Consider the following 21,762-nt stretch of genomic DNA (forward strand, 5'->3'; position numbering starts at 1 on the left):
GGAAGACTAGCGGACTTTCTCTAGAATCATGTATGACACATCTTCATATATATGTATAATAAAATTATGATGAAATGAGGTACTCTCTTCAAGGGCCTCTCTCTGTTACATAGGAGGAAATCTTTTCCAAATGTCTCCAGCTAACTTCCCCAGGTCTTTTTGGCTAGACATGGTTCACATACCCATGCCTAGAGCAATAGATGATGAATGAGAAGAGGATTGCCATAATGTAGTAACCATCACACAGAATGCCTCTTCACTATCTCCCAAGACTCCAGTCTAAATAAGCAATTATGTTTGCATTGATAATGGAACCTTAAAATTATTGCTTTACATACAATTATTAAGATATTTTCTATTTGTCAGCCATGGTCAAAGTTTAGTCCCACAAAGGTATATTAATCTTATTTTAGTGGCCAAGAAACAATAAGCATTCTACAGATAGAAATAGTGATTGATTAAGGTAAAGTTTTTTTGTTTTTCCATTGTTTAGTTTTTTTGGTTTTGAGACAGGGTTTCGCTCTGTAGCCCAGGATGGAGTGCAGTATCTCCATCAAAGCTCACTACAGCCTCGACCTCCCAGGCTTAGGTGAGCCTTCTATCTCAGCCTCCCCAGTAGGTGGGACTATAGGTATGTGCCACCAAGCCCGGCTAATTTTTTGTAGAGATGAGGTATTGCCATGTTGCCCAGACTAGTCTTGATCTTTTGAGCTCAAGTAATACACCAGCCTTGTCATCCCAAAGTGCTAGAATTACAGGTGTGAGCCACTGTGTCTAGCCAAGGTGAAGCCTTGTTTAATGTCTTTGTCATTCTTTTGCCAAATCTGTGATCCTAAAATTTTGCTGAGTCAGTTTGTTTCAGCTAGGAACTAGTGAATGAAAAGTAACACATGTGAAATTATTACTGAAATGTTATAGCAAAGTTCATGGCCAGTGGAATTAAATTAATATGGCTAGCGTATTTGAAAACATTATACCTGTCAGAGTAACTCTCTGTTTGAATTTAACGTGTTAATTTCTTACACTTCTCATATTTTCCTGGAATACAACTTTCCACTTCACTCAGAACAAACATTAAAGTAGGATGTTTATATACTATGTGTAGTATGATAAAACTGTTTTAACCATTAAAAAAGTAGAAAATCCTTGTTTTTATATCATGTGACTATTGAAATTGCAATACAAATGTTTTATTTAAGGGCTTCTTTATTTATACTGTGATAAATCTGCCTTTCTCTCTGTTTCTTTCTTTCTTCCTCTTCCTTGTTTCTTTATCTCTTTCTTTCTCTTTTTCTTTTTTCATTCTTTCTCTTTCTTTTTTCTTTCTCTTTCTTTCTTTCCCTCTTTCTTTTTTTTTTTTTTTTTGAGACAGAATCTCACTCTGTCACCCAGGCTGGAGTGCAGTGGTGCAATCTTGGCTCACTGCAACCTCCGCCTCCCAGGTTCAAGCAATTATCTGCCTCAGCCTCCCGAATAACTGGGATTACAGGTGCCCGCCACCATGCCCGGATAATTTTTGTATTTTCTCCTTTTTCTCTCTTCTCTGAGACAGGGTATCTCTCTGTCGCCCAGGTTGGAGCACTCTAGTGCAACCAGGGTGAACCAGGGCTCGCTGCAGCTTTAACCTCCCAGACTCAAGCAATCCTCTTGACTTATCCTCCCTAGTAGCTGGGGCTACAGGTGCATGCCACCACACACAACTAAATTCTTAAATTTTTTATAGAGATGGGGTTATGGTGCCAGGGCTTGTCTCAAATTCCTGGGCTCAAGTGATTCTCCTGCCCTCACCAGGTGTGGTAGCTCATGATTACAGGCATGAGCTACTACGCCTGGCTTTATTGCAATATTTCTAAAATTATACTTCAGTCATCTATTATTCTATAACAAACCATCCAAAACTTACTAACTTAAAACCACAGTTTTCTATATACTGGTGAGGTTGTGGAGAAAAAGGAATGCTTACTCACCATTGGTGGGGGTGAAAATTAGTTCAACCATTGTGGAAGACAGTGTGGTGATCCCTTGAAGACCTAAAGAGAGAAATACCATTCGACCCAGGAATCCCATTGCTGGCTATATACCCAAAGGAATATAAATCATTTTATTATAAACATATATGCATGTGTATGTTCATTACAACTCTATTCACAATAGCAAAGACATGGGCTCAACCTAAATGTCCATCAATGATAGACTAGATACAGAAAATGTGGTACATATGCACCACAGAATACTATGCAGCCATAAAAAAGAACAAGATCATGTCCTTTGCAGGGACATGGATGGAGCTGGAGGCCATTATCCTCAGCAAACTAATGTAGGAACAGAAAACCAAATACCACTTGTTCTCACTCATAAGTGGGAGCTAAATATGAGAACACATAGGCACATAGAGGAGAACAACACATGCTAGGACCTATAGGAGGGTGGAGGGAGGGAGGAGGGAGAGGATCAGGAAAAAATGACTAATAACTACTAGGCTTACCACCTGGGTGATGAAATAATGTGTACGACAAACCCCCATGACACAAGTTCACCTAGGTAAAAAACCTGCAAGTGTACCCCTCAACTTAAAATTTTAAACAAAATAGTTATCATTTATTTTGCTCATAAATTTACGATTTTGGAAAGGTTGGGTTGGGATGGTGAGTTTCTGTTTTCCCATGGCATCAGTTGAGGCAGTTTCCTGGGACAGAATCCACTTGCAAGTTAGTTCACTTACATAGCTAGTGTCTGCTTTAACAAAGATACCACAGAATAGGTGACCTAAACAACAAGCATTTCTTTCTCACAATTCTGGAGGCTGGAAGTCTGAGATCAGGGTACTAGCATAACTGTGTTCTTGGTAAAGGCCCTCTTCCTGGACAGATGGCTGTGCTCTTGTTATATCTTTACAAGTTGGAGTGAGAGAGAGAAAGAGAGATACTGATGGGTACCTTGGCTCCTTTCCACATGAGTTTCTCCATGTGGACCTCCCCATGAGATTGCTTGAGCTTCCTCACAACATGGCAGTTGGGTTCCAGAAACAAATATTCCAATAGGAAGTTGAAACTATCAGTATTTTACAAATTGGGCCCAGAGCTTCAGCCTAGCATCAATCCTGCTATATGCTAATGGTCAAGCAGTCACACAGACTCTGCCCAGATTTAAAGCAAGTGGACATAAATTCCTTCTTTTGATAAGAGGATGAAAACTAAATGTAACCATCTTTAATCTCTATAGACTTGAAAGAGGATTCGTTTTTATTTTCAACGTTCATTCCCATGGAAAATTTTTCTTCTTTATTATATAATACTGTCAAACTGTGAAGATGACTTGCTTTGTAAATAAAACTGCAATAAAAATATCACGGTTTAAAAAATTTATTTATTTTTATATCACAATAAAAATATGGCAGACTTTTATTGTGGTTTATGTAACCACAATAAAAATATAGCAGAGTTGTAAGGTCCAAAGTTATACTTGAATCAGGATTACTTAAACTTGAGTCAGGATTCAAGTTTCATGTATAACTAATGCTTTTCTACTCAGAAAACTGGTCAGAACAAATATTGTGTCACCAGGATACAATAATGGTGTTGTATTTATTATGGTAATAAAAACAAAGTAAGAAATGTTCCTTGCTATACTTTTTAATTTTTGTTAAACATTTTTTATTGGGTAGACCATTTTTTCTTTTAAAAGGCAGTATTTTAATTCTCTTTCTGTTGAATATTCTTAAATTGTATTTTGATAATGTAGTAAAAAGTAAACAAGAATAGAAAAATTTTCTGTGTAGAGTTAAATGCAACACAGCACATCACTTCTGATGATAAATGAAAAATTTTATTATGTAGTGAGAGAATAGTACTAAATATGAGGCATAGTGAGGTAGTTTTCAATTACTTTTTTATTTTTATGAGGATGATGTGCTTGGATTTAATAGAAATTGAAAGATTTCATGATACAGTAAATGACAAAGCTTATGGCTTTTTCTTCTATTTGTTGAAGAGGAGAATGCCATTTTATTTCTTTGATTTGTGAGAAAACTCTATGTTCTCTAGTTTTACAAGCATCATTAATATCGTTTGTCAGTTATTGTTCAACAACAATGTGCAAGGTTAGGCTTGAACAGTCAGAAGAACAAAGTGAAAGAATAAGAAAAAAATGAGTAGGGATTGGTAGTGTCTTTCCTTCCAAGGATAAGTTTTTCAGAGTTTCTGGTGCTATTAGGAGACTACTTCCTCCTTGAATGTTTTGATGATGCTATGCTTCTGGGGTTTTTCACCTGAGCTTTATTTTGTCTATTCAATGGCTTCACAGTCTCTGATGGTCTTTGTCCTCCTTTTCCCTGGAGAGTGTTGGTGTTCTGCAGAGTGTTCCTCCTGGTCTTCTATTATAATTCTACATTTCCTGATCATAGTTCTCAAGATTTGTATCTCTAATCCAAACTTCTCTACTGAGTTCCATACATATAAGCCACATTGCTATCTGTATATCCTACAGGAATCTCCAACTCGTCAGCCCCAGATTAAAATCATCATCCTTCTTCCAAAATCATTAATTAAGAGTTGCTACTCTTCACCCATATTTACTAGGTAACTAAGTCCTATCAATTCCTTCTCAAAATATGTTCATGTTTGCCCCATCCTTTTTCATCCTCATGACCACTAACCTATTTCAGGCTTTTTGCATTTCTTCCCTAGGTTGTTACAAAGGTCTCCTTACAGGTCAAACCACATCCAGTTTCACTCTAAGCCATCCCTCAAACTGCTTCCAGACTGACTGTCCCCAAAATACAAAGAAGATAATGTGACAACCATACGTAAAACATCATCCTTCATTGTTTACAGAGCAGGGTCCAATCTCTGTCATCAGATAGAATAAATTCTCCATGATACGTCTTCCTCTCTATTATCATCTCCCTCCAATTTCCTGAAAGATCCATCATATTGTTTCCTGCTCCTATGCCTTCATGCATGCATACACACAGAAACACACATCACATATATACATATAATGTATATGTATATAAGTGCACACACATCACATACATACATGTAATATGTATGTATACGTATATAAATGCACACACACACTCTTTCTAAATGGAATGACTTCCCTCTCTTTATTGGTATACAGAGTGTCTCTGCCAAGATCTAGTGTAAACATGACCTTCTCTTTGAAGTTTTCTATTACTCTTCCACCTCTGCTGCCTGCTACACTATTACCACTCCCTACACTGTGCTGCTAAGTGTGCCTAAATCAAACATGACTTTTATTATTGCACTTACAAGATTGTATTTCTATTATCTTTTGCATGTCTGTCTTCTGTAGAAAATTATAATTTTTTTTTTTTTTTTGAAACAGGGTCTCACTCTGTCACCCAGGCTAGAGTGCAGTGGCATGATCTCGGCTCACTGCAACCTCCACCTCCCGGATTCAAGTGATTCTCCTGCCTCAGTTTCCTGAGTAGTTGGGACTACAGGTGCACACCACCACACCCAGCTAATTTTTGTATTTTTAGTAGAGACAGAGTTTCACCATGTTGACCAGGCTGTCTTGAACTTCTGACCTCAAAGTGATCCGCCCGCCTCGGCCTCCAGAAGTGCTGGGATTACAGACATGAGCCAACCCACCTGGCCAAAAATTACAATTGTTTAAAGATAGGAAACATGACTTACTTACTAGCAGCATCTAGAGGCATTACCCTCTACAAAACCTATAAATTAAGCTGTGTAGAATGAATGAAAGAAAAATATGAAGATAAACTACATTAATTATAAAATGCTTATTAATTTCTGAAATTATGTTGCAAGAGTAAGAGACACCTTATACTTTGACAGAGAAAAGCCTTCAACTTCAAATATCCAGAAGAAGTAACAATTTGAAATCCAGTCACAATTTAAAAAAAGTCTATCAGGTTTTAATACTTAACATCAGATGCTTTCCTAGGTAACAAAGCCAGAAATTTTCAGAAAACATGTATTAGAAAAAAAGGAAAATAATTGGTATTAGAATAATTGTAGAGGCAGAAAAGACTAAAAATTGTTTGTTATGATATGAAAGCTTTGATATTAGTAAAATAATAATGCAGAACAATGTGAAACACATAAAATAATACAGAAAAGGAAGAACCAAAATTATATATAATAATAGTAATAATAATCACTACTATTTATTGCTTATGACATGACAGGCACTGTGTTGCAACTCTACAATCTTATCTTTCTATCCTCACAGTAATGTTGAATGTAGATATTATTATTATTTATCTCATTTTGTAGATGATGAACCTGTGTCTTAGAAGGGTTGATCAACTTAATTTACCAAGGTCACATAGTCCAGTAAGTGACAGTACCACATCTTAAATTCTGACTTGGGAACCCAAGCTCTTATCTATTACATACAAAGAGACAATTTCTTACCCATGTTTGACCATGTTTCTACAGTCTCTTATGAGGAGAAATTAAGAATCATATCAGAACCAAACTTTATAGTAATTTCAGTAGTTGGATGGATGAGATGAAATTTTGTGACCTTGCTCTTGGGATCATAAGAGCAACAGGTGGGAATGGTCTTTTCCCTGAAGGGAACATGCTTCCGCTGTTGATCACCTATCCACTAAATAAATCTCAGGCTCACAGGATTGGACAGCCGACATTAGATGGACATAGAAAGGAAGAGATGCTTCCTTTCTCTTGGGCTAGAAAGTGGTTGATTTTTGTCTTCCAATAAAGGACACACCTGAATGGTTTTGTGGGAATTGAGGAGCTGCCCCTGACACATAGATCTAGTCAAGGCATATGCCTGATCAGAAATGGGGGACAAGAACAGGGATTGGTGCCAAAGTTGTACTTAATTCTCAGGGTTGTATCCCCTCTCCATAGTTGCCCATACAGTCTGATCTCACTTCTTCTGTAAGGAGTAAAAAAAAAAAAAAAAATCAGGAAGAAGCCTGCGGCCTTGCTTTCAACAAAGCAAAAGAGTACAGAGCAGTACAGCTTACAAAAGCAGTGAACAAGGGAAGGTAACTGTGCCCAGCAAGGCTGATGTTTCATGAGGGTCAGGGGCAACAGAACAGCCCAACAGATACAAAGTAGAGAAGGATGGATTCAACAAATTAATAAATGGTTCAGCATACATTGATCATTGAAAGTAAATGTGATCTTATTTTTAGTTGCAGACCATTGAGGCTTAGACCGCTGAATCACATTCATCGTACTGACGCCCTGCTTTAAGATCTTCTGTGCCTCCCTACTGTCTTCAAACGGAAGTTCAAGTTCCTGAGCATCCCACAAACAAGGCAATTCATGAACAGCCCCATTGCTAATGTCCTCTCTCACCAGCCTTCTGACACCACACAGAGGCCCTCAAATTCAAATGTACTAAATTATGAGCATTTCTCCAAATGTGGGCTTTTGTCCTCTTTTGCCTCTGAACACATGATGCTTTCTCTGTGTCTAATTCTTTTCCCCATACTGCTTCTGCCCTAAAACTCATTCTTTAGAGCTTAACTCAAAAGTTCCTTTTTAAAAGAGTCTTTGACTAGAATGCAACTTATGTGATCTCTTCAATTTCCTATTAAGATCCTAAGAAAACATATACTTTATTTATTTATTTATTTGTTTATTTATTTTTTGAGACGGCGTTTTGCTCTTCCTGCCCAAGCTGGAGTGCAATGGTGTGATCTCAGCTCACTGCAACCTCCGCCTCCCGGGTTCAAGCAATTCCCGTCTCAGCCTCCCTGGTAGCTGGGATTACAGGTGCTCGCCACCACGCCCAGCTAACTTTTTGTATTTTTAGTAGAGACAGGGTTTCACTATGTTGGCCAGGCTGGTCTCGAACTCCTGACCTCAGGTGATCCACCCGCCTCAGCCTCCCAAAGTGCTGGAATTACAGGCGTGAGCCACCGCACCCGGCTAGAAAACTTCAGAATTGATCACTCTGTATTTTTATGCTATGTTTACAATCTGCTTCCTTTTTGCATCATGTGCTTCTAGCGTGCCTGGCCCATGGTAGGATGCAACAATATTTGTTGAGTGAATGAATGACTGGTAATTTTCTTGATCATGCACAGTAGCTGCTGTAGTCCTCAGAGATTTGCATGTGCTGTTTCTTTTGTGAGAAATCATGTATCCTGGAGGCTGATTCTTCCTTTAATTTGCAAATTAACTTAACCAAAATTGAAATTAGTGAGGAGGGCATAAAGGACTTAAACATTCTGACAATATTTTATCTTCCTTCTTTAGCTGCAGTCATTGACATTATTGCTGATTCTTTCATGTACTATATTAACTAAATTGATCATTCTTAGACCATGTTCAAATGTTTAAAATATAGATATCTTGCTTGTGGCTCCCTTTATGGCTGCTAGAGGAGGTGGATCTTTCTTTTCGCTTGCTCACTGCTTTTCTCACAATGGACACTTTCCTAGTGCCCCTTTATCACTCATGCACACAAAAAGGTACACACAAAAAGGTCCCCTTAAACAAGGTACAGTACTTGAAATGAATGAGAGTATTTTAGGAAACAAAGGTTGGATTAACTCTCCCCATTCATACCAACTGTGACTTCAACACAGCTCTTTGTAAATAAGGGTTTCACAATCATGTGATTTCCTGGCACGCTCATCCTGTTCATGGGGTAAAAGAATGTATTGATCTGATTCTTGACCTAATAATCAAATTTCATCAAACTTTTATACAAATTTGATTTACAGCAGTCTAGAATAGAGATTGGTGCTTGCTTTCTAAACAATGTATTTTTACAGAACAGACTGTTTTCACTAGAAGTTCTGTCCCAGATTTTATGATCTCTCTATATATATGCATATTTTTTGAGACAGGACCTCCCTCTGTCACCCAGCCTAGAGTGCAGTCACACAATCACTGCTCACTGCAGCCTCAACCTCCCAGGCCCAAGTGATCCTCCTGCCTCAGCCTTCCGGGTAGCTGGGACCAGAGGCATATGCCACCATCCCCAGCTAATTTTTTATTTTGTAGAGATAGAGTCTCCCTGTGTTGCCCAGGCTAGCTCAAACTCCCAGACTCAAGCAATCCTCCTCCTCGGTCTCCCAAAGTAATGGGATTCGAGGCATGAGCCACCACAACTGGCTTCATCTTTCTATTTTTAATTATTGGGGGAGAGCACCCACTAGCCTCTTTGTCTCACTGTGTTCCAATTCTACTATTCTGCTAGTATTTCATTGCATAAAAATGATTATGAATAATGACTCATTAATGAGGTTGACAACCTTACACACTCCTTCCTTATAATTGTGGAATAGAAGTTTTGTGTTTTTATGTAGTTACATTAACAATCTACTAACTACTTTACCACTGATTTTGTATTCTTCTCACTTCATGGTCTGTGCAATTTTCGCCAAATATGTGTCCGAAAAAGTATTAAAAATATTATTCTTTTTTCAACACTCACCCAAGTCAATGTTAACAGGCTCTATATGCCATCAGCCCCCATACCAAGATTTCATTTGCAACAGTTGTTTAAATTATTTTTTAATTATAAAATATTTCATACATTTAAAGGCGGATAGAGATAATTAGCAAATGGAATGCTCAACACCATTAGTCATCAGAGAAAGGCAAATCAAAACCACAATGAGGTACCATTTCACGCTCAATAGGATGGCTGTAATTAGAAAAGACAGACAATAACAAGTGTTGGTCAGGATGTGAAGAAATTAGACCCCTCACACATTGCTTGTGAGCACGTAAAATAATGCATCTGCTTTGGAAAAGTTTGGCAGGTCCTCTAGGTTGCATGTAGAATTCTCATATGACCTACCTATTCCACTCCTAAGTAATGTAAACATATGTTCACATAAGAACTTGTACACAAATGCTCATAGCAGCATTATTCATAATGGCCAAAAGCAGAACAATCCAAATGTTCATCAACTGATGAATGAATAAACAAAATGTAATATACCCCAAAATGGAATATTATTTTGCCACAAAAAGGAATGAAGTGCTGATATACGCCACAACAGAAATGAAACATTGAAAACATCATGCTAAGCGAAAAAAAAGCCAATCACAAGACTACATGTGTATGATTCCTTTTATATGAAATGTCCAGAATAGGTCAATCTATAGTGATCAAAAGTAGATTGGTGGTTTTCTAGGGTTGTTAAGGGTTGGGGGAAACTGCGAAGTGAATGCTGGTGGGTACATGATTTCTTTTTGGGATGACAAAAATGTTCTAAGATTGATCATAGTGATAGTTGCACAACTCTGTGAGTATCCTGAAAACCTTTGAATTTTACAATTCAAATTGAGTAATATATATGGAATATGTTATATTTCAGTAGAAATGTTAGGAAATAAATAAAATGAATAATTTTTAAAACCCTAAATAATTACATAGGCAATATGTAGTAGACACTCATTAAAATATCTCCAACATTTAAAAATATGTTTGCCAGGTCGGGCACGGTGGCTCACGCCTGTAATCCCAACACTTTGGAGGCCAAGGTGGGTGGATCACTTGAAGTCAGGAGTTCGAGACCAGCCTGGCCAACATGGCGAAACCCCATCTGTACTAAAAATACAAAAATTAGTCAAGCGTGGTGGTAATCCCAGCTATTTGGGAGCCTGAGGAAGGCGAATAACTTGAACCCTGGAGGCAGAGGCTGCAGTGAGCCAAGATCGTACCATTGCACTCCAGCCTGCATGACAGAGTGAGACTCTGTCTAAAAATACATATTTATATAATATATATAGTTTAATATATTTGTTTGCCAATTTTGCACCCCTTTTTTAAGAAACAAAAAGTTACAAAATAAGTTGAAATCCCCTATTTTCACTTTGCCCATTTTGCCTAGAAAGAACCACTATCATAAAGTTGGTACACATCATTTCCATCTATATTTTTGTCTTTTTCATGTGTGTTATAATTTTTGAGATGTAGTCTTGCTGTATAAACCAGGCTGGTCTTGAACTCCTGGGCTCCAGGGATCCTCCTACCTCAGCCTCCTGAGTAGCTGAGACTACAGGCATGCATCACTGTATGCAGTCCATATTTTTGTCCTTTTACTACTTATATGTGTGTCTATAAATAAAACATGAGTCTATTTTGAATGTTTTTTACATTTTACATAAATAGCATAATGAAAAAAATAGCCTTCACAGCTTGCTTTTTACACATTGCGTGGTGTTTAAGAAGTTTAAATCTGTCCATATAAACATATGTAGATCTAGTTATGTACTTAAATTCTGTATAGTATTCCATTGTGCTAAAATAACACAATTAATATCTATTGTTCTAGTGGTGAAAATATAAGTTGTTTCCAAATTTTCAGCAGTACAAAAAATACTGGGAAAAAAACATTCCTTGAATATGTTTCTGTGGGCATGTCTACATATCCTTATCTAGGGGTATATACCTGAAGTTGGAAGTTTCTAGGTTATAGGTTATGATCAGTTTAAATAAAGTACAGTATAAGCTTATTTTCAAATCATTTATACCAAATTACATCTTGCTGGCAGTGGTTGAAATATTATTACCTCCAACCCCTGGCCATGATTTAAAACCATCATTTCAAATTTTTGTCAATTTGATGGTAATGAAATAATATCTCATTGCATTTTAATTTTATTTTCTTGAATTCTGGTGAGATGGAACTTTTTTTCATGTGTTTGTTGCTTTCTAGGTGTTGTTTCTGTAAATGTTTTTCTTTTCCTTTGCAAGGACTGTTTATATAGTCTGGATAATAATCCTCTGTTAGTTATACATATTTCAAAAATCCTTCCCAATTTTGGCTTGCATTTTAAATTTTTAAATAGCATCTTTGTCAGATGCAAATTTAAAATTTTTATATAATTAAATTTAACCATCCATGTCCTAATGGCCAGGAATTTTAGTGATATGAACATATTCTGCTGTATTTTTTCTAAACATTGTAAGGTTTTTGTTGTCATATATGGATGTTAATCCACCTGAAATTTATTTTTTGTATTTATAAAATAGATAAATACTTTTATTCTTTTCCTCAAATGGCTACTTGTCCCAGAACCCTTGCCCTACTGATTTATAATTGTTGTATATCAAGTTTCCTGTATAGATTTTTGTGTTTCTGAATTATTCTTTCCCCTTAGTCTATTTGTCTTGCCTTATGTTAATAAAATGCTGTTTTAATTGCTATACCATATAAGTCTTGCTATCTTGTTGTTTTTTTCTTGTACCCTATCAGCACTGACCAATCACAGAATCAGAATAAACTTGAGAAGCAGTATACTTGGGGAAATAAATTTCTCAAAATGATAAGAAGTTGGCACTGGCTCTGGAATGCTGTTTGGAATAATTTACCGTGGTACCTGTTAGTGATATGTGCAACTATCTGAAAATGTTTTTAATCACAGCCAACTGCTATGATTTTAGTTTATAAAGATAACTGCCTTTGGACTTTGAATACTGCATCTATTAAATAGAAGAGTTTTCATCTGAAGTTGTATAGAATACCATTAAAACACTGGAGCTATAAGAAACACACAGAACCTTTTTAAAGCTTCTTATACATAATATAACACTATGTGTCCATGAGAAAACCATTTTAAAGGCAAGATAACTAAATTCTGGAATAGTAAGACATGTTAATCATAATAGGAAATCTGTCATGCATAGCAGACATTTATATATATTCTGTCTTTAAGTTTTACTGCCAAAAAGTTTTGAATATGAGGAAACATACTGATAGAAAAAAATAAGAACATGAAAAACGTCTTACTACACAGTAGGAATTAGCACTAACTAAATAGGAACATTTCTAACCCTCAGCTTTTGTAATGCCTGTTGGGATATTTCATCTGAATAGAACACCACAAATTAAAACACGACATTTCTCAGATGATTTGCGCCCCCTATCAGCTTCCCCTCTTCAGCTTCTTTATTTCTGTCATGTGTACCCTTGTCTTTACAGTTTCTCAATTATAAAAGCTTGATGTTATCTTTTATTTATTTTACCTCTGTATACTCTATCTACGGTAGGCAGAATAATGGCTTCCTCCCTTTCCCCCAAAGATGTCCATGTCCTAATTTCTGAAACCTATGAGTATGCTATGTTATATCCAAGGGGGTATTATGGTTGCTAATAAACTGACCTTAAGGTTAAAAATGTATCCTAGATTGTACGGGAGGGTCCAATGTAATCACCAGGATCCTTTAAGCATGAAGGATGGAGATGGAAGAGTCAGGGTCAGGGTGATGCAGCCTCAGAAAGACTCAGCAGGAAATATCTGGCTCTGAAGGTGATAGAGATTCAGGAGTCAAGGAATGCAGGCAACCTCTAGAACCTGGAAAAGGCAAGAAAACAGATCTCCTACAGCCCCCGGCAGGAAGGCAGCCCCATTGAAACCTTGATTTTAGCCCAGTGGAACCAATTTCAGGCCTCTGACCTTTCAGGATGGTAAGATAATAAACTTATGCTGCTCTAACCCATCTAGTTTGTGGTAATTTAGGAGAGCAGCAATAGGAAACGAATACACAATTCAATTACTAATCATATCTTCATTGATTCTTTTTTTGTTTGTTTGTTTTTTTGAGACAGGGTCTTGCTCTATCACCCAGGCTGGAGTGCAGTGGTGCCATCTTGGCTCACTGTAGCCTTGACCTCCTGGATTCAAGCAATCCTCCCACCTCAGCCTCCCGAGTAGCTGGGACCACAGGCACCAGCCACCACACCCACCTAAATTTTTTGGATTTTTTAGTAGAGACAGGGTTTCTCCATGTTGCCCGGGCTGGTCTTGAACTCCTGAGCTCAAGCCACCTACCCATTTCAGCCTCCCAAAGTGCTGGGATTACAGGCGTAAGCCATCATGCCTGGCCAATTGATTCTTATGTTCTACTTCCTCTCAAATGGCTTTACAATCTGGATAAAATGGCAGGCCCCACTTCTGCCTTCATTTGTTAGCTCCTGGATGTTGCCATAGATTCCTAACAATGATATAGGGCAGTGGTTTCCAACCTTTTTGGCACCAGGGATGGGTTTCATTGAAGACAATTTTTTTTACAGACCCAGGGGGTGGGGGATAGTTTTGCAATGATTTAAGCACATTACATTTATTGTGTGCTTTATTTATATTATTAATACATTGTAATATATAATGACATAATTATACAACTCACCATAAGGCACAATCAGTTGGAGCCCTGGACTTGTTTTCCTGCAACTAGACAGTCCCATTTGGGGGTGATGGGAGACAGTGACAGATCATCAGGCATTCGATTCTCATAAGAAGCTTGCATCCTAGATCCTAGATCCCTCCCATGCAGAATTCACAATAGAATTCGCACTCCAATGGGAATCTAATGCTAGGGCTCATCTGACAGGAGGTGGAGCTCAGGTGGTAATGGGAGGTATGGGGAGCAGCTGTAAAAACAAATGAAGCTTCACTCACTCACTCACTGCTCACCTCCTGCTGTGTGGCCCAGTTCCTACCAGACCACAGACCGGTACCAATCTGTGGCCTAGGGCTTGGGGACCCCTGATATAGGGGATCTTGTCCTAAACTGTGAGTCAGGTCTAGTCTATTTCTGCTGTTAATTAGCTTATGACCTTAGGCAACCTCTCTGCTAAATTTCCTTGCTCTCCACCCCAATACACACACACACACACACACACACGTGTGCACACACACACAAACACACATACACACCAGACACCAGAAATTGAGTAAGTTGACTAAGATGATTATTACATTTCTTTCTAGTTCTTGTTAGTACCATTTTGCAGTCTGTTTCTTGCTTCCTCACATCTTCTATACATCAATCCAGAATTATTCTTAAAACCTGTTTGGTATAAATTAAATTCTTATGTAGAAGCATGCATTGACTTTTCACTGCTTAGGGATTAAATAAGGCCCTATTAGAGACCTTTAACCACCTGCCCACTGCCCCATCTCTCTGCCACAGTTTTTCTTTTCCAGAGTTCACTACTCACTGCAGCAAAACAGGTCTCATTCATTCCTGAGACATGATCTGTTCAGGCTCTTCCTCCTTCCTGAAATACCCATCGCATTTATATCTAGTTATCAGAGTCCTGCTCTTTCTGTAAAAGGCCCAGCAACTACCACTCCCCTGGGACTGTTCCTCCCCCACAATTGCTGCCTACACTGTGTTTCTCAAACCAAATTATCATGAGAACTTATAAATGATCTAAGTTTTCCAACTCAACACTGAAGATTGAGGATTGTAGAGAGACGATAGAAGAGGGATAAAAGAAAAGAGAAACTAGTTCAAAAGAGTAAGGCTTTGCCTTTCAAGTCTCCGGAAGGAGTGGGGGAACAAATGTGTTTGGAACTGATCTAATATGACTTGCATTATTATTTCTTTGCCAGTATGTCTTGTCTCCCAAGGTATAACTCCTTAGTGACAGAGTCATTTCTAATATTTCTTTTTATCCTTGTCATTTTTTAAAAAAAGATGTCTTACCAACAAAAACTACTTACTTGTTTGCTCAGTGTTGTAATACAAAAATGATAATGACATTAATACACCAAATCCAGTTTTAGCTTCCACAATTCATGAGGATAAAAAATACATAATGAGCTCATCAACCAAGTATTTGTTAAATTCCTGCTTGTGTATAGTACATGTTAGCAAAATAATCCCCAGTACTGGACGGTGTGGACTCTCAATCCCCCTCATTCCTTGGCCTCTGAATCCCACGTTTTCAGCATGACTTTTTGGTAGGTGCCAAATATAACTCATAGTTCTCTAACCCCTCTTGAATTTCTCTGGTTTCTAGGAGGGAGTTCTCCTACCAGTGGTCCAAAGCCTACTTCATTGCAAGCTGTGTAGTCACAGCCATATTGCCAGGGCAGTCAGCTTCATCCAGTGGAGCAACATGGAGGCCTCGAATGAATACAAGATGTGGCTCATTGTCCAAAAACAAGGGCAATTTCTTAAGAAACTGGGCATCTTTATGAGAAATTTTTAGATTTCCTCAATTTAGTTAACCCATAATAGTACTTAGTCAGATTCTTTGCTTGAAACTTTCTGTCCAAACCATCTATTCAGCCAATATTTGCAGGTCTGACTAGAGCATTATCTTCATGGGGGCTCTCTCCAACTTTGCCATTTTATTCTAAAACCAGAAGGACTTCTGTATGATCGATTTACACTGCTATACTCCATGATGCTAATAGCTGAGTGGTCATGACGAAGGTGAGCTCTTGGCTCAAGTCTGGGGTGATAAGTTTAATCCAATGTGAACCTGAGTACTTGGTCTGAAATCCCAGACACTGTGTCAGCACATATCCGTCCTTGAGAATCTAACACAATACTATTTAAAAATTGTTTCATATAGCTAAGTATTTCACTTTTTCCTATTTGTTCTCTTTCTAGTCAGCTCTCTTCCAGGTTTTTTGTTTCTTTTGTTTCCCACACTTAAGTTCATTTCTACACACATATTGTACCAACTGTCAGTAGCATACAAATGCCTCCTTCTTTGGCTTGTCAGTGACATAAATTTTCTCTAATATAACCTGACAAGGGCGTTGTAGTAGAAATGTCATTTATTTCTCTCATTTAGTCATAGATTTTAAGTCTCTTTCAAAGACTCTGTATCTTTCTCATAGAAATTCCTTTGCCTATACAATATTTTTCTTTCCCACACAGAACATATATTTATATGTGACATAATGAAGCTGGCAAGGAAATGACTGTTTCAGCTTTTTAAAACCACAATAGTAGCTTGGAGCTAATATACAATGGGCTAGTTAGTTCCATCATACATACATACAGGTACATGTATTACACTACCATCTTTAAACCATGAATCATATACATTCTCATTCATATACACAGCCATGCATATAAATTAACTGTTGCTGCACAGCCACAATCTCTCACATTTCCATTTTCTTCCAATCTTTCTCCGTCTCTTCTACTTCTTAACTATGTTCATCATAACCAGGACTATGACATACTGGGTAAACTGGCTATCATGCCCAATATATCTGGAAAAACATTTAGACACACTGCTTTGCAGAATGAACACAGCTGGAATCCAGAGAACGGTGCAAATTTTTTTAAAAAAATTTCTATATTATATCATCTTACTTGAGGCTATAGAATAAGCCTTACATGGTCACCTTCAAGTCTTCTCTCTTCTAAGAATCCTCAATTCTTTTATTTTCTATCTTTCAGCAGTTGGTGCTAAAAATGGTGGGTTGCCACCACCCCATAACATGCTAGCTCTCTCTTGGGAGAGCACAGGTGAATTGAGGGCTCTTTACAATCCTTCACGGACATAGGCTTGGGCAGCTCAGAATCTTCAGAGTCAAGCAACTGTAAGACAAACGAACCTTTTTCTTTCTAATATTGGTCACCACTCATAGCAAAATTTCAATGCACGATCATGCTTTAAAGAACTAGACCTGATGATAGCAAGAAATTCTTTTCCCTTACACCTTAACTATTGCATTCACCCTCCTTTCCACTCCCTGCCCCACCCTCCTGGGACTATTGACTGGTGTTAATAATCCCAGAAGATTGTCTCCCTCATAGAAAGACTAACGCATACTTAACTTCATAGAAAGACAAGTAAAGTGATGTCCTTGGAATTTCTGCTTGAATTTGGTGCCCTGGACCCTCTTATTGAGAGATGAGATTCCAGGGTGAGAGTAACAGGCCAACTAGTCAAGAAAGAAAGCTATTTGTTTTTCTTTTGAACTATGAAAAGTCCCTGTTTGTGAGTGTATTTTAGAAAGAAGAAAGGAAGGATATGTCTGGAACTTTGTCCTGTTTTCTGCAACAAAATGTGAATGAATAGTTCAAAGAGTGAAAACTTTTAGTAATGCTTGATGATGTCTCTCAGGGATAAGCTGGATCCCCAATGTTTTGAAGATGCTTTGAGTCCAAAAATTGATAATCAGAAAACTACTTTGTGTTTGTTTAATGTATCCCTGTTCTGATTTCAATTAAACTCCACATTTTGTTTTACAACAATAGATGAAGAAGACAGTCCTCTTCTGCCACACACATGTAACATCTAGCTGGACACAGCAGACACAGATGCCCAGAATCTTGAAGCCTAGCTCAGGGTGACCCAGGTTGTATCATGGCCTACAAAACTGTGACTGGCCTGAGTCTTCAGGTCTACATGGGGCACTTGCTCTATGCAATTGCTTTGGGCAAGAGTAACTGACTATGCAGAAAGGATGGTCAGGATTTAAGGAAATTGCCTGGGAATGTCTTGAGAAACTCAGTCCAGCCTTTGTGACGGCAATATAGCTCCTGGGATGTAGGCAAAATCTGACTAATGCATGAGACTTAACAAGGAAGATGTAAATAGCAATGGAAGATGGAGAAACAGTGAGTATAAAACTAAAATTGGGGAAAAGGCCAATGCAAGCTTCGAGGTCACGCTGCCATAGTTGAGAAGGAGTAAAACAGCCCAGGATGAAATCCTTTAATCAGGAAGAATCCTTCTAATTTCAAAATGTAAGCTCTTTAAGTGCAAGAAACTAAGGCTTTTGTTAGGAAAGGCAACGTGCTAACAGGCCCTAAGAGTCCCTGTCCAGTATTGCTGGATATACCAAGAATTCACGGCTCTCACTGGTCTTCACCTGGGCCTTTCTTCAGGATTATGTTTGTAGCAAGCAACAGCCTTGGAGGGATAAGGTAGTATCTTCTCCTAGACAAAGAACAGACTTGTTACCCTGCACTCAAAGTTCTCTAAGCACAGTGTTCCTCTCTCTAATGAGTGTGTAGGCATCTGTACAGGCCCCCCTATGTCATCCCCATGAAATTTGGGGGTCGTGGAAAATTGATACAAGAAAATGTGAAGATCATGCTGCCTGTTACATCATAAGTAATAGAGTCCTTTATCTCCGATTCAAGAGTCTAATACCTTTTCCCAGTGTCCATGATACAGTAACAGGCTAGCCTATTAGCTTGAAAGTAGAGTAAAATCCCAGACTGTCTATAGTTCCTGACAGCTATATCCCCAGCACCTAGAAAAGTAAAATCACATAGCATCCTATTTATTGGTGGTTAAAAGTTTGTGCTAGGTGTTCGCTTTTCAAATTTAATTAAATCAAATTAACGGGATTTCCATTAAGAAATGTTTCTAATAATTTCTGAATATTTGTCAAATCATATATTAAACAGTTACCAAAAAATATTTGGGAAAGAGCATCAGCATTTTAATTGCATTACACATCATGTTTTTAATTCATTTGTTTAATTCTAAAGATAGCCATTTTATGAAGATAATAAATACCAATAATAAGGAAATTTTAAAAAATCTTTCATTATTAATTTTTCAGTGTACCCAGACCAGAATCAAGATTGAGAAGCCTTGGAAAAATAAGCAACTCAATTTTCCCCTTTGGTCTAAGGAAGACATTGATTCAAAGTCCTCTGAGTTCCATTAAGATTTCAGGGGTAATCCTCTCACTTGTGTCTATAATTGATTTATTAATAAAATAACCTCTGATTAGTTATACCTTTCAACAGAATGTTTTTCCACTTACACAATAAAAAATTAAACAGTTTAGACTTGAACTAATATTTGAACTAATAATTGTGTACCCATCTGTGTGCTATGCACTTTCATATAAACAGTGATACAAAATCTCTTGGCAACACATGGCCAGCGTTAAGTCTCTGTAACTGGCTCATTGTATTTTTTTCAATATGTTGCAATCCTTTTTGCATGTGGATTCCACACCTTTCTAAACACTTAGTAATTTACAGGAACAGCAACCTTTTTTTTTCCTGGTGAGAGGTTATGGAATTTGTTTTTACCGAAATGCAGAACTTCCTTTTCATTTCAAGTAATGTGACACTGTAAGCTGCTAGCATGGCCACAAGTAACACTGAAACAAAATTTCAGGCAAAATGGATCATCAATGTTTAATTCAAATCTTTAAGAACGGCGACTGCCTTGAAAGGATCTTCCTGAATAATCTCTTCTAGGTGTCTAAAACTATATTGTAGATGAAAAGTACTTTTTTTATTTTTTATTTTTTTGAGATGGAATCTCACTCTGTTGCCAGGCTGGAGTGCAGTGGCGCGATCTCAGCTCACTGCAGCCTCTGCCTCCCGGGTTCAAGCGATTCTCCTGCCTCAGACTCCCGAGTAGCTGGGACTACAGGCACCCACCACCACGCCAAGCTAATTTTTGTATTTTTAGTAGAGATGGGTTTTCACTGTGTTGGCCAGGATGGTGTCAATCTCCTGACCTGGTGATCCGCCCACCTTGACCTCCCAAAGTGCTGGGATTACAGGCATGAGCCACCATGCCCGGCCCGAAAAGTACTTTTTTACAAAGAGAGAATAAAGTAAGACCCTGTAGATAACCTCCTCACACTGTTTTACCACCACTCTCTCAAAACAATTTATTCACAGAGAATTCTGGAGTTTTGGGATTTGGACATATTGCAGGGTTCCCCACATCCCAGGCCATGGACCACTACCTGTCAGTAGTCTGTTAGTAACCGGACCACACAGCAGGAGGTGAGCAGCAGGTGAAAGGGCATTACCACCTGAGCTCTGCCTCCTGTTAGATCAGCAATGGCATTAGATACTTATAGGGGTGCAAGCTCTATTGTGAACTGTGAGAGACCTCAGTTGTGCACTCCTTATGGGAATCTAACTAATGCTTGATGATCTGAGGTGGAACAGTTTCATCCCAAAACCATCCCCCCAACTCCATCCATGGAAAAACTGTCTTCCATGAAACCGCTATCTGGTGCCAAAAAGGTTGGGGATCACTGCTTTACTGGCCATTAAAATCTCATCTTTATAAATGAATGTCAAAGAAATCATTAACATTATTCAGATCATTACAATGGGCTAAAAATATAGTTCCATTGGAAGAAAAAGAAACACGGAGTTGTAAGTTTTCCTAGTAGGTGTTTCACATAATAACAATGCAAGTCTTCCTAAAATGTACCTCTATTTCCTATGTCATCACATAGCCAGGATGACAAACATTATGCAGATTTGCCTCACTGAAGCTCTGAAACAGAATTTTTAAAGGTGAACAGTGATCCTATGACAGACAAATAAAGTTGTCTTTCTTTTGTCTTCATTTTTTTAAGTATTGTATATCATTGTTAGTCATACCCAGTTTCTTGAGTATTCTTTCTTTTTTTTTTTTTTTTGAGACAGAGTCTCACTGTCACCTAGGCTGGAGTGCAGTGGTGCAATACCGGCTCACTGCAACCTCTGCCCCCTGGGTTCAAGTGATTCTCCTGCCTCAGCCTCCTGAGTAGCTGTGACTACAGGTGCCTGCCACCACGCCCAGCTAATTTTTTTTTTGTATTTTTTAGTAGAGACAGGGTTTCACCATATTGGCCAGGCTGGTCGCAAACTCCTGACCTTGTGATCCACCCGCCTCGGCCTCCCAAAGTGCTGGGATTACAGCCATGAACCACTGTGCCCGGCCTTGAGGATTCTTTCTACACTGTCACTACAATTGGAAGACTGAAGATCCTCGATGGTACAGACTATTGCTTACTCTTCAAGTATATTTGTATAATTGTGCCTAGCTCGGTGCTTGGAACATTGTAATTATTAATAAATGTTGGTTGAATAAATAAATTTATATACCCCTATATTCAACCCTCAACGTATTACCTTTTTATCTCTACGGACACTTTTTTGGATTCCTCCTATATGTGAATTTCATCCAAATATGCATGTCATCCTTCTATTCCCTCTCCTTCTTGGGCCTTTCAGCTCCAACTGATTGCTGGGTATTTCTCTCTGGATGCTCTGTGTATTAATCTGTTCTCACATTGCTGTGAAGAA

The 21,762-nt window shown here is 38.1% G+C and overlaps 1 long non-coding RNA gene across 3 annotated transcripts in view; it reads right to left on the bottom strand.

Moving 5' to 3' along the window:
- Nucleotides 1-1,988: 1,988 nt before the first annotated feature.
- LOC102724146 (uncharacterized) overlaps nucleotides 1,989-21,762 on the bottom strand; it is a 65,230-nt gene continuing 45,456 nt past the window's right edge. Inside the window, exons 5-7 of one of the 3 annotated variants that reach the window (XR_002957404.2) lie at nucleotides 21,589-21,752; nucleotides 13,101-13,292; nucleotides 1,989-2,030 (exon numbers count right to left, since the gene is read on the bottom strand). This is a non-coding gene — a long non-coding RNA (uncharacterized LOC102724146). Of the gene's footprint in view, nucleotides 2,031-12,825; nucleotides 13,293-21,588; nucleotides 21,753-21,762 lie in introns of those variants that run through there. The other 2 variants (XR_007063230.1, XR_007063229.1) reach the window with 2 other exon arrangements.

Source organism: Homo sapiens, chromosome 12 (genome assembly GCF_000001405.40).
Source record: "Homo sapiens chromosome 12, GRCh38.p14 Primary Assembly".
Taxonomy (NCBI): domain Eukaryota; kingdom Metazoa; phylum Chordata; class Mammalia; order Primates; family Hominidae; genus Homo; species Homo sapiens.